Here is a 13,901-nt window from a genome sequence, read left to right on the forward strand (position 1 = left end):
CCAATCTGTGAACACAAAATGTCTTTCTACTTATTTAGATATTCTTTGGTTTCTTTCATCAGTATATATATATTTTTAGTTTTCAACACAAACATGCTGTGTGTTAGACTTATACCTAATTATTTCATTTTTGAAGCTTTTTTTTTTTTTTTTTTAAATTCATTTCCAAGTGGATATCCCTAGTATGGAGAAATCCAATGGGCTTTTCTGCGTTGACCTTGTATCTTGTGACCCTGTGGAACTCGATCATTATTTATAGGGAATTTTAAAAAATACATTTCCAGGGGTTTTTTTACATGGACAATCATGTCATCTATGTATTAGAGCAGTTTTACTTCTTCCTTTTTAATGTATGTGTCATTTATTTATGTATTTAGCCTTATTACATGGACTAAAATTTCAAGTACAGTTTTTAACAGGAGAGCGAACATTCTTGCCTTGTTCTAGAACTTAGGAAGAAAGGATTCGTTTTTTCAACATTGAGTATGGTTCTGGCTGTAGGTTTTTTGTAGGTGTTATTTGTCTGGCTAAGATTTCCTTCTTGTCCTAGTTTGATACAATACTTATTATGAATGGACATTGAATTTTTTCACATGCTTTTTTTCTACTTCACTTGATATGGTCCTGTGTTTTTTCTTTAGTCTGTTAATAAGGTGGATTTTCTGTCTTCTGGAAGAGATGGTGTAGAATTGGTGCCAGTTCCTGAAATGTCTGGTAGAATTTACCAATGAAACCATGTGGGCCTGGAGACTTCTGGAAAGTTTTAACTATGAATTCAATTTCTTAGATACAGAGCTATTTAGGTTGGCAATTTTTCTTCCCTGGGGTGAGTTTTGGTAGTTTGTATCTTTCAAGAAATTGGTCCATAGCACCTCTCTCTTGAGGCACCTACTTCTAAATACTCTGGGGACCACTCCGCATTTCTACACAATTGATCTCCTATAATGACAGATAAGTGCTTTGTTCCATAATCCACTACAGAGCCAAGTAGTCCCCTATGATTAATTTCCTTTCTTGTGTAACTTTTTAATTTTCCTAGAGTTTATTCCCTTTTGCCTCAGTCTGCCGTCTACACAAGCACAATTGTTTCCAGGATCTCCTTCCCAGTCAGTGTTCTGCCAGGGCTGCTTGTCCCTGGAGCCCAGACTCCCCCGGCCTCTCTGCATTTGGCTCCCGCCTTGCTGCTGCCCTCCCTGGGCTCGTGGCCCTGCGGCTACACAGGGGCTTTGGGAGAGAGTCTCTCTGCTATCCTGAGCTGGAGTCTACATTTTCGAGATCACATGTCTTCCTCTTTCTTTGGCTTACTCCCTTATTTTTTTGAACCCATCCTTAGGAAAATGATTTTTAACTCATTATTGCTGGACTTGTCAAATCACTTGCCTACAGTAGATATCACACTTTTTCTACACGGAAACTTTTAAGCAGCCAACAGTAGCATCATGATCCCGGGTCGTAGGTGGGGGGTCTGCTGTGGCCAAAAAGAGTGGTGGCTGAATCCTACAGTTGGGAGCAAGGCCAGAGGAGGAAGTGAGAGGAGGAAAGCTGACCCGCGCTCTCTCCGACTCACTGCCCGCCAGCTCTCCTCCCCACTGACTTCCCAGCGAAAATCAAGACCTCGCGCTGGAGCAGGACTTGAGACTTATTTCTTGGTCTGAGAAAAAAAAAATGAGCTGAAGGGTGGAAAAATGAAAACAAAAGCTTGCTCCTTTCCGGCCTAGTATGGCCTGGGAAGTCAGCCCATCAGTGTCAATTTAGCTGCCGATTCGGATTGATTGCCTGGGACTGCCTAGAGTCCAGGTTGAGATGGCTCCTCAGTCACTCTAGAGCTTGGCATGAAAGGACACCATGATTGACAGGGGTATCTGCCCTCATCCTAGCACCAGGAGTGTTCACTAACCCTGAAGTAGAGATTTTAATACTAATGCATGAAGATGAGCTGAAACAGCAGGGGCTTGTGAATCATTCAGATCTATTGATCTGAGATAAATACCGCTATCTAAAATGAGGTATTTCATAAAACAGATATTTGGTGCCTACAATGGCCCAGGCACTGGGAACAAAACAGACAGTGATCTTGCTTTGATTTTAAGAGAGAAGCTCTGGATCTGAAGTTGGCAGGCCAGGGTAGCAATTTGAGCCAAGCTCAGCTGGTCTGCTGTGCTAGTCAGGGCCAGACTCAGCTCATCTGGACTGGCCTTGCTCGTTTGTCTGTAGTCAGCTGCCAAGCTAGCTGGGGCTGGTTGGTCTAGGGCAGTTCATCTGGTGCATGCAGGCTCTGCTCCGTGAGGCCTCTCATCCTCCAGGAGGCTAGCTGGGGCTTTTCTCATGGTGGTTGTGGTGGTGGTGATGGTGGTTGTAGAGCACCAAGACTGAGCAGAAGCTCACAGACTTCTTGAGACCCAGGCTTGGAACTGGAGCATGACTTCCACTGCATCCTGTTGGCCAAAGCAAGCCACAAGTCCAGCCCAGATATGAAAGGTGGGAAAACAGACTTCCTTTTTGATGAAAAGAGAGCAGAGTCTCCTTGCATATGGCGTTGGCACAGGGAGGAAGACCTGGGGTGATTTTTGCAAATCCTCCATCATAGTGACGCAAAGACTTACTCCCACAGGCACCTGTGTTTAGACAAATGGGTGGAATCAGGGCAGGGTGGTGATGGGGAGGTTCTCCTGGCATCTTCTGCTTTCTCTAGCAGCCTCCACTTCTCCCTGGCACATTCAAGAATGAGATCTACATCCTGTCAAGGGCAGCCCTGATTGCAGAGGAGAATGGAAGTCCCCTTGCTCCCTTGGGGTCATTTCTGGCCCTGGGGGCATTGGGCAGTGAGTGTAAAGGGCCTGATCCACACCATGGCCCGCTGGGAAAGGAGACGTGGCCAGCCAGTTCAGTGGTTTCTTGGGCTAGCCTGGAGTCTTTCAATCAGGAACGGATGTCCTCCCAGGTCTGCTCACCCTGGGGAATCCTATTTGGCACTAGACTTGATTGCAGGCAGATCGAGCCAGATGCCTTTGAAGCTGCTCCCCTTCCCTTTGGGTACCAGCCCTCCCTCCATATGCTGGCTCAGACCTGCCTCTCAGCCAGCGGTGCCAGGATCAGGGTCCATTGTTTGGGCACAGCTGTTGACAAAGGCCTGACTGTGCTGGCCACTCTCCCCTGACCCATAGGGGCAAGGGTTTGTGCAGCCCTGGGGCTCCAGAGAAGACTCCCAGGGTGGGTTGAACTTTCTTTATCCTTTCAAACTCCCTGCCAGGACTTTCCATGCTCTTCAGTAACTGCCTGAAACCTAAAATAAGGACACGACACACATTTTTGTTAAAGAAAAAATAAGCACCCATAATTTGACTGGACCCAAACCCATCCATTTGCACAAGTCTCAAGTACAATTTGTAACTCAAGTAAGTAAAATGTGTATCTCAAGGAAGTAATCATCTCTCCTCCTGTATATAGGAAAATGTGTTCCTCTCTGGACACCAGAATCTCTCAAAGGAGGCAGCCTCGATGGGAAGTGAGACCCAAGGAACTCAGCGTGGGGCTGGGTGCCTAAGTACTAAGATTGAGACATGACAGTTGTTCACATCAAAGACCAGAGGCATGGGGGATATTGGTGGTGACTGGGAGGGAACTGGAAAGTCCCCGAGCCACCCTTGGCCCCGTTCTTGCCATCTGGTTGGCCACTATCTGAGACGTTTCCCCGTCTGCTGGAGATTAGTTCCCTCTGGACCTTAGATGGAAGGGGAGGGGGTTATGAGCTCTGGAGCAGCCCTTTCCCATGCTCACCCCATCTCTGAAGGAGGGGCTGGGGTCAGAGAGCAAGACCAGCAACTGGTTGCATTGTCCAGAAAGCCTCAACTGCCCCTGGGGAGCTGAGAGCATCAGATGACTCCCGGGCTGATTTGAACAAAAACAGAGGACCACTGAGCTCCAAGACAGGGGTCTCTGCTGTACCAGAAGAAAAAAAAAATGCATCCAGAGAAGCATCAGACTGTAGTGTAAAAACATACAAACATGTTAGTATCTCCTGAACGGGTCAGTATCACCTCAGTCCTCCTGCAATTTAGGCCTTTTCTCTGATTGCATGACAAAAAGAATCTAACTAGTAAGATAATGTGCTCATTCCACAACTATGTCCTGAGAGGCTAGCACAGGAAAAATGCTGTTCTGGGAGGCCTGAGGCAGCGTAGCACGTGGTGAAGACTCCCAGGCCTGGCTTGATCTTGGCTCGGATCCTTCCTGGTTGACTGATCTGGGGCAAGTTCCTGCCCCTTGTGAATCAGTTTCTTCCTCTGAACAGTGGAGATAATAGACATTCCCATCTCATGGGGTCATAGTTGAAGAAAATGAATAATATTCAAAGACCAGGTCCATAACAAATGCTAAATACGTGACAGGAGAGAGAAAGATGCAGCTGACACAGTCCCCACTGCCACTTAGCTCACCAAGCAGGAAGAGAAAAACCAGACAAATTAGAAAAGTATCAGAGGGCCAACGATTGCCTAAGCGGGGTGCTGCATTGGAGGGTGGCCACGAGCTACTCCAGGTTAAGCAAGCAGGTAGGGAACTCTCTAAGGAGGGGACTTCTAAGTCGAAGTGGAAAGACAACTCTAGAGGACTCCACTCTAGAGGACCTGGGGGCAGATTCTCCAGGCAGAGGGCCCAGCCGGTGCAAAGGCCCCAAGGTGGGTGTAGCCTGGGGAGGTTCATGGTAAGAGGGCCTGGATTCCACTGGCAGAACGGATTCCGCTGGATTCCGTGGGCAAACGGGAAGGGAAGGGTCAAATGATGGCGGTGTGCCTGAGTACATTGTCAGGGTCCGGGGTCTTGGAGTCTTTATTCTTGGAATAACTAACATGAATGGTGATGATGGCTAAATAAAAAGTGGGGTGTGTTTTCTGATTTTCCTACTCTCTCTAGGGGAAAATCCCAAGTGTTTCTGAGTGGGTTGGCAGTGGTGCAACAGAAATTATCCTCTCCTGTACCACGGCAGTCCTGTCACATCTCCCCTCCCTGCATCCTCACTTGCTTTCGTAAAATCTGTATTTCCCAAAGACAGAGGTCAGAGGCCAGGCTGCATCACGCCCCTGCCTACATCCCACAAGTCTCCTCGCCGCTGAGAATAAAGGGAAACTCCTCACCATGGAGCTGACAGAATGTATTAGTTTTTCATTGCTGCCTTCTTTGATTCCTTTTTATCTACTAAACTTTCTCTCCCTTCTATATTCATATTGTGTTAAATCCCAAAAGGAAATAGACAAAATGTGCTGCCATTTTTGCTGGTAGGAGGCTCTCAGGTTGTGAGATGTGAGGAGAAGGCTCATATACCCGGCTTGTGTACCTAGGAGGGGATTGCAGCTGCTGGATGCCATGTGTGTGGACCCCAAGCTCCTTGCTTGGCTTGGGCATTGGGGACCTCAGAGACTTGCTGAAGATAATACCGAGGCTGTGAAAGGCACAACCCAATCCACAGGTGCAGATGGCCTCTGGACAAAGGTTAGCTGGGCAGCAAGCAGGTGAAATGGGGAAAGTGAGTTTGGTGGTAAGATGAGCAAGAGATTGTCTTTGGCTCATACTGACGCCATTCCTTCACTCCTCATTCACTCGTTCACTCGTTTGTTCATTCAAATGGGCATCTAGTGTACTTTCAAGGGGATGCTGTGAAGTGAGAGGATGAATGAGGCAGGACTCACGAAGGTTCTCTGTGCACCCCTCTCTAAGGTGAGTCCGGCCATCTTGTCACACCAGCGGCTGGAGAAGGCACACTGGGTTTTAAATCCTGGATAGGCCACCGTGGCTCAGAGACCTATGCGGCTTCCGCCCCTGCCAAGTGGGTGTTGTAATGGTGCCACGTCCTGCGCTGTCATGGGTTCCTGTGTGAAGTGTGGCCGCAGTGCCGGCTCTGGGCACCCGCTGTTTTTGTCATCGCTCCTGTGGCTGTTTTAAAAACCAGACTGGAATTGCGCATGGAGTGTAAATGTAGAGTTACAGGCAGCCAGCAGGGTTCAAACTCAAAGTACCCTGAGCATCCTGGGGTGCAGAGCCCCAAAGGGAGGCTCCAGCTGGAGGGCTGGGGTGGTTAATTTTATGTGTCAATTTAGTTAAGACATGGTTTCCAGATATTTGCTCAAACACCAGTCCAGATGTTGCTGAGAAGCGATTGTTTAGATACGACTAGCATTTAAATCAGCAGCCTTTGAGAAAAGCCGATTCGCCTCCTAGTGTGGGTGGCCCTCATGCAAAAGACTGAGGTCCCCTGAGGAGGGAGTTGGGCCTCCACACTGCCTTCTGCCTTTGACCTTGAGCTGCAGCATCACCTGCAACTGGCCCTGGGTCTCCAGCCTGCTCCTGCCCTGCGGAGGTTGGACTTGCCAGCCCCCATAACTGCTCGACAGTTCCTTAAAATTCCTTAAAATTGGACTTGCCAGCCCCCACAACTGCGTGACAATCCCTTAAAATCTCTCTTTCTCTCTCCATATATTAATAAGTATGTTATATATTACAATATTACATATGTATACGTATGCATGTGTGTGTATATATAATATATATCTCTTTCTTATTGCTTCTGTTTCTGTAGAGAGTTCTGACTAATCCAAAGGCCTCAGGCAACTCCCCAAGTGAAATTCTCTCACTTCCTCCAGAAGCACCCACTTTCTCTCCTCATATATGTGGGTGCTGAGCAGAGGTCTCTGGCATGAAGAGTAGTCGAGGATTTATAACCCGCCTCTGGCTCAGTTGAAAAATAAAAATAAGTTCTGTAGAGAGCACATTCACGAATTCGACATGACTCAGACGCTGAAGACTCCGAGCCTTGGCCAGCAGGCTCACATTTGGTAAGTTGCTCGGTCCTTTCAGAGACCTAAGGCATCAAAACATCTGTGTTCCCATTAACAAAATGCTGACGTGACGCATAGCTGTGGCTTGGGAGAAACCAGCGTGGGAGACGGCCCCTCCAAGTCTAGGGGTCATCCGTGGCCATCGGAGGTCTTGGAGCTCTATTGTCACCAAAGAGGCTCTCAAAAGGTGTCACTGTACCAAGACTGTCACTGTGAGGAAGACCATCGAGCCAGGTTACAGGAGAACAGAAGCCCCAGGGACCAGTCCCCATGTTTCCGTACATACTCCTGAAGCTTCTCTGTACCCTCTGTTGCCTTCAGAGCAGGTTCGGAGTGAGCCCAAACAGCATGGGGGCCTGGATGGGATGAGAGGGGTCAGGCCTGCTGGCAGGGGACCGGGTGAGCCGGGGGACACACACCCATCTTTGGCTGTGTCCACCCTTGGACCAGGAGGTAGGGTCTGGGGGTACGAAATGTCTCTGGAGGCCCAGCCATCCTGCAAGTGGTAGTTGGTTCTCAGAGGAAGGGAGCCTGGTGATCTCTGAGGAATCTTCCGTGGACCCGCCGGAGTAAACACTGTGCGAGAAGGGGCTGGAGGGGAGATGGACAAGAATTCCCGGAGAAGGGCAGGGGTGGATGGAGCGTTCCATGGGCCTTCTTGCTTCCAAGAGCCTTAAAACCAGCTCCTCCCCTCGCCCAGCTCTCAGCACTGGTCTGCGTCTTCCAGAACCATCCATGCCACCTCTACTCCAGCTTGGAAAAACCTGGATGGGGTGACATCTGTTGTTCCTTCTCTAACTGGTTCTCTGCAAACATTGCCATTGGTGTCAAGTTAGATGAAGTACTCACCCCTTTAAAGAGTTTCATAACAGAAACGGTAAACCTTGATATTTTTCTACTCAAAGATGGAAGGTTTCACTGCATGTCTCCTCTTAGTTCCATTTCAAAGAAGTTATTAATTCAAAGAAATGGAAACTATTCGTCATTATTTATTGTCAATGACATAAGTTGGGCCACGACTGGTTTTGAAGGGATGAAAATTTATACCATTTGAGGGGATCTCTCTAAGAAAAAGATTTAAAACGGGGCGCCTCAAGAGCCCTGGAAGAGGCCTGGGAAAGTGAGGACCCAGACATGGCAGCTTCCTCAGCTTCGAGGGGACGGCCTCTGGAACACGCTCTGTCCTTCCTGGTGTGCAGGGGCCTCCCCTTGCTGCCCTGTCTGGATCTGACCTTCACCCACTCCCACCTTGGAGAGTGGGAGGTCAGCTTCGAGGGCTGTGCGGAGCCTGGGGTTGCTTTTCACTGTTGGGACCTGGAACCCTGAGATGGGAAAGCCTCACCCAAAAGCCAGCCCTTCACTGAGCAGCAGGTGGACAGCCCTTGAGGGTCCGGCCGGCTTCCTGTCCATCCCATAGCCCCTCACAGCACCCTTGGCCTGACCTCAGCAAGGACCACATGTGCATGGAAGGAAATGGCCTGCTTCCATGCATGGCTCAGAGCAGGGGAGGGTGGTGGGTTTGGGAGGGGAATGGCAGACAACTGTGGCTGTGGGCAAGGAGCCCCCTGCCCAGACTGAAAAGAGTGCATTGAGGAATGAGAATTGAGACTCAGAGACAGGCCGGTTGCTCTGCTCGTTAACATGAAAATGATGCCACAGCCAGTGTTGAGGGGAAAGAGCTGACATAGAGCCTGCATCCTGTGGGGCTGCATGGTGACGTCTGTGCAAGGGAGCACCTGTGTCTAACCCAAGACTTGAAACCCAACGAAAAGTTAACAGTGGTTGTCTCTGGTTGTGGGACTTGTTCTTTGTTTGAATGCATTTTTCTGTATTTTGAATTGTTTTGCAGAGATTATGCTTTCTTTTTATGATCAAGCAAAATGATAAAGCTTTCTCAGCTTGGAAAAAGGGGGCACTGGGGTCTCAGGCCCCTCACATGACCTCATTTGTCCCCATAATGTGGGTCTCATGGGTGCATGTCTTGGTATGTAAGGATTCCAGCTTCATCATCTAGCTTTGCAAAGGAGCTCGGTGATGCCTGTGCCTATACCAACTCAGGTGACAGATGAGCATGGCATCCAGGACCTGCCCTGTTAGGAGCAGCTGCAGCTCAGACCCTCAAACCTCATGTCAAAGGCACGGATACTCTCTGCTTCTCGGGCTCCCTGGCCCCAGCCCCGGCATGCTGGCTTGCCGAGAGCAGCAAGATGCTTCCTTGTACCACGCTCTGTTTCATCAGCCTCACCCCAGAGAGGTTGGAGGCTGGGATGGGCCACAGCCTCCTCACCTTCCCTCGGCAAGTCAGCCTGGAGCCTTCCTGTCTCCCTCCCCGCCTGGGACGGAGATGCAGCCTTGGTTTGCTTGGTCTTGAAGATGTTTAAGGTTTTTCCGTGGTAACTGGCAAGCTGGGCACATCTCACCCTCAATGAGCACCGGGGAGAAAGCAGCTGGCGCCTGTTGCCCACGGAGCAGGAAGTGGCACCGGAAGCAGAGGGCAGTTGTGCCTGGAGCCAGCAGCACTGGGGTTAGAAATACTTGGCTGCCCAGCGGCCAAGTAGAAGACAAGACCCTGTCCCTCCACACACACTCCCCTGCTTCCTTTACTTCCTGGAGCCCCAGGCCATCACCCCAGGTTCCTGGCAGTATGCTTGCCCTTCCCAGCGCAGCCTTTGGCACAGATTTCTCCCGGCTTCAAAACTGAGCCCTCCATGTACCCGGGGCAGCTGCGGCTCCGCGAACCCACTTTCAGCTGTCAGGGCCTGGCCAGCTCGTAGCGCAGGAGGCAGCTGTTCGCCTGGCTGGATGTGGGCAAGGACGTCTCCTCCACCTTCCCTTCACGCTTCCTGCCCCCGCTGCCCAGGTGCCCAACCTGAACTTTGCACGGGAGTGAGAAATCTACTGTGGGGCATTTGGGCTCAGTCCTATCAATCCCTAGTGCAAATTCATCAATAAGATCATTCACCACACAGGAGCCTGTGAGAACAAAGGAGGCAGTCCATTGGGGTGGCCGGCGGGGCTGGGTGGGAGTCAGACTTCCTGGCCTGGCTCTACTGCTCCTAAGCCCCATGATTTGGGGGAAGGTGTTTGACTTTCAGCCTCCATATCTTTCTCTATGAAATGGAGACAAGCCCCGTTTCTCCACGGGGTTGCTGCCGGCCAGTAGCTGAACTATTCTTTGTTACAGCGAAGAAGCTCTTTGTAGACTGAAGTACACAAATGCAATTGACATATAAACCATGAAGTCATCTATAAAAGCAGAGCCCCCCTTTTTTAAGGAAGGGGACGTGGGTGTGGGAAATCAGGTTTGGGTGGCAGGGCTGCACGGTGCTGGGCAGGTACGGGGTTGCAGGAGGTCGCTCCTGAGTGCCCCAGGACCTGCGTGGGAGGGACCACAACGTGGGAGGAGGAAGGAAAACAAACCAAACTTCTCTTCCGAGCAATTGCGTTTGGGGCTGTGCCTGGTCAGGCCCTGGGTATGGTGGAGGCCCAGGAGCCCCCGGGATTAACGAATTCCAGGGGCAACTGGGGATTCAACTGTGTCAAAAGCATCCATTCAGTCTGGCCAGTGAGTCATCTGTTTGGTGAAATCTCCACGGTGCAGAGGCCTGGCAGCCTCCCTGGGAGAGCGGCAGTGGCTCCATTCCCACCGCGGTGGTGGTGGTGGTTGTGGTTGTGGTGCTTCGTTGGTGAGGCTGGAAGCCACCCTGGCTGTGGGGGCCACACACCTCCCTGCCACTTTACTGTTCCACTGTATTTTAGAGAGTTTTTTTGAATTATAAAACCAATACTCAGTAGAAAAAAAATTAAGTAGAAAAAATAAAATTAAGACTGGGTGCGGTGGCTCACACCTGTAATCCCAGCGCTTTGGGAGGCCAAGGCAGGCAGATCACCTGAAGTCAGGAGTTCGAGACCAGCCTGGGCAACATGGCGAAGCCCCGTCTCTACTAAAAATACAAAAATTAGCGGGGCATGGCGGTGGGCACCTGTAATCCCAGCTACTAGGGAGGCTGAGGCATGAGAATCACTTGAACCCGGGAGGTGGAGGTTGCAGCGAGTTGAGATTGTGCCATTGCACTCCAGCCTGGGTGATAGAGTGAGACTCTATCTCATTAAAAAAAAATTAAATTAAATTAAAACATAATCCATAAGCCTATCCCTAAAGATAACCATCATCGTCTTGATGTGTCTCCTGTCTCCTGTGCAGGCAGCAGAGTCCAGGCTGTGCTGTTGTAACACACAGCCCCCAGTGAATGTGAATGGCCTTAGTAGAGACCTGCTTGCTCCACAAGGCCGAGGTCCCATCCCTCCCCACTTGATTCACCCCTCCTTTACTATTTTTCATGTCCTGGCTCTTTTTCTTAATTAGGTAATTAATTTTTTTGAGGCAGGGTCTCACTCTGTCACCAAAGCTGAGTACAGTTGTGCAATCATGACTCACTGCAGCCTCAACCTCCCAGGCTCAAGTGATCTTCCTGCCTACAGGCGAGCACCACCATGCCCAGCTAATTTTTTATTTTTTGTAGAGACAGGGTCTCAGTCTGTTGCCCAGGGTGGTCTTGAACTCCTGGATGCAAGTGATCCCAAAGTGCTAGGATTACAGGCGTGAGCCACCGCACCCAGCCTGTCCTGGTTCTTTGGTTCTTTTTTTTTTTTTTGAGACGGAGTCTCGCTGTCGCCCAGGTTGGAGTGCAGTGGCGCGATCTCGGCTCACTGCAGGCTCTGCCCCCCGGGGTTCACGCCATTCTCCTGCCTCAGCCTCCTGAGTAGGTGGGACTACAGGCACCCGCCACCTCACCCGGATAATTTTTTGTATTTTTAGTAGAGATGGGGTTTCACCGTGTTAGCCAGGATGGTCTCGATCTCCTGACCTTGTGATCCGCCCGCCTCGGCCTCCCAAAGTGCTGGGATTACAGGCGTGAGCCACCGTGCCCAGCCTGTCCTGGTTCTTAAAGGCAGTTGAGATTGGAAATATTTAGTTTGGTTTTGTTGTTGTTGTTGTTTTTGAGATAGGGTTTCAATGTTATCCAGGCTGGAGTGCAGTGATGTGATTGCAGCTCACTGCAACCTCCCTCCCAGGCTCAGGCAATCATCCCACCTCAGCCTTCCAAGTAGCTGGCACTACAGGCATACATCACCGGGCTCGGCTAATTTTTTTGTTTTTAATTATTTTATTTTATTTTATTTATTATTTTGAGACAGAGTCTTGCTCTGTTGCCCAGCCTGGAGTGCAGTGGTGCAGTCTCGGCTCACTGCAACCTCTGCCTCCCAGGTTCAAGCGATTCTCCTGCCTCAGCCTCCCGAGTAGCTGGGATTACAGGCACCTGCCACCATGCCCGGCTAATTTTAAAAATATTTGTAGTTGAGACTGGGTTTCACCATGTTGGCCACGCTGGTTTCGAACTTCTGACCTCACATGATCCGCTCGGCTCAGCCTCCCAAAGTGCTAGGATTACAGGCATGAACCACCGAGCCTGGCTGAATTTTTAAATTTTTTGTAAAGATGAGGTCTCACTATATTGCACAGGCTGGTCTCGAACTTCTGGCCTCAAGCAATCCACCCACCTTGACCACCCAAAGTGCTGGGATTACAGGCATGAGCCACCGTACCCGGCCAGGAAACCTTGAGAATTTTAGCATTAAGTAGAATGCTGGCACCTCCGGGGAGTGGCCATCTGCCATCTAGAAGACATCACCAGAAACTAACACTGCCGATGCCTTGATCTTGGACTTCTAGCCCCGGAACTGTGAGGAAATAAGTTTCTGTTGTTTGAACAAGCAAACAAAAAGTATGATGCTTGATGCTGCTTTAAGTTAGGTAGCCTTTATCATGATAAGCATGATCCTCCATTTTCTGCCTTTCTATGGCTTAAAAAAAAAATCATCAGAACTGAACATTGACTTTTATTGAATGCCTCTTTAACTCTAGTGAGTTTTTTTTTTTCTTATTTCCCATGTTATATGTCTTTAAAGAATAGGAACCATTGGGCATTCCTGTTTTGCCTGTTTTACATGTATTATTGGCCCTTTGCTTTTAAAAATGTCTAAGAGTGACAGAAAGAAAATGTTTGCCAAGGCCCAGGGTTTTCAGAGCATTAACTTAGAGTGAAGAATTAGAGAGAATCTCTCAGAGTGGCAGCGTGGTGATTATAAGGCTCTTTGGGTTCAAATAACTGTTCATCCACCCGGTCATTTAGAGTCATCCGTCCTGCCTGCATTTTGTTTTTGTCAAGGGGTGAACTGGGGCTACCATGCATGTACTTGGGGCTGTCCAGCGGCAGGTCACTTTTACGTTGCGTTGAGTGAGCTTCAAACGCGGTTTGGACCCCGTGGCTTCGGCGATTTCGGAAGCTCAGACAAGCATGTGGGACTGAGTCAGTCTCAATGGGTGGTGGCGGCGATGTCTTCTCTCCGCAGAACTGTCTCAGCAAACAGCAGCTCCTCTCGGCCATCCGCCAGCTGCAGCAGCTGCTGAAGGGCCAGGAGACACGCTTCGCCGAGGGCATCCGCCACATGAAGAGCCGGCTGGCCGCGCTGCAGAACTCTGTGGGCAGGGTGGGCCCAGATGCCCTTCCAGGTGGGTCCCCACGTCGGCACCGCTGGGGCGGCAGCGCAGCACTCGAGCACTCTCCCCGAGACGCTCCCAGCTGGAGGCCCCTCGTCACCCCTCACCCTTCCCCCATCACCTTCCATCTTCCAACTGTGGCCCCCCCTTTTTTATTTATTATTTATTTATTTATTTATTTTTTTGAGACGGAGTCTCGCTCTGTCGCCCAGGCTGGAGTGCAGTGGCGCGATCTCGGCTCACTGCAAGCTCCGCCTCCCGGGTTCACGCCATTCTCCTGCCTCAGCCTCCCGCGTAGCTGGGACTACAGGCGCCCGCCACCACGCCCGGCTAATTTTTTGTATTTTTAGTAGAGACGGGGTTTCACCTTGTTAGCCAGGATGGTCTCGATCTCCTGACCTCGTGATCCGCCCGCCTCGGCCTCCCAAAGTGCTGGGATGACAGGCGTGGGCCACCGCGCCGGGCCAATCTGTGGCCCATTTGTAAGCCTGGTTGGTGGCAGTGGGGGT

At 50.2% G+C, this 13,901-nt stretch overlaps 1 protein-coding gene across 10 annotated transcripts in view, besides 1 other annotated feature; it reads left to right on the forward strand.

The window, feature by feature from the left end:
• FBLN7 (fibulin 7) overlaps nucleotides 1-13,901 on the forward strand; it is a 106,324-nt gene that overhangs the window by 8,047 nt on the left and 84,376 nt on the right. For 9 of the 10 annotated variants that reach the window (XR_007069507.1, XR_007069508.1, XM_006712260.3 and 6 more), the window contains exon 2: nucleotides 13,245-13,404. Coding sequence is in view for 8 of the 10 variants with exons in the window: in XM_006712260.3 (XP_006712323.1) it covers nucleotides 13,245-13,404 (160 nt within the window). In the remaining 2 variants the exon portion in view is untranslated. Of the gene's footprint in view, nucleotides 1-6,574; nucleotides 6,828-13,244; nucleotides 13,405-13,901 lie in introns of those variants that run through there. The other variant, XM_011510587.3, reaches the window with a different exon arrangement.
• Nucleotides 10,107-10,936: an enhancer, noted in NCBI's record as "H3K4me1 hESC enhancer chr2:112914115-112914944 (GRCh37/hg19 assembly coordinates)". NCBI's record gives its function as "activates a minimal SCP1, AML or CMV promoter by ChIP-STARR-seq in naive H9 embryonic stem cells {active_cell/tissue: H9 hESC(naive)}" and the evidence as "EXISTENCE:reporter gene assay evidence [ECO:0000049][PMID:30033119]".

Source organism: Homo sapiens, chromosome 2 (assembly GCF_000001405.40).
Source record: "Homo sapiens chromosome 2, GRCh38.p14 Primary Assembly".
In the NCBI taxonomy this organism is placed as follows: domain Eukaryota; kingdom Metazoa; phylum Chordata; class Mammalia; order Primates; family Hominidae; genus Homo; species Homo sapiens.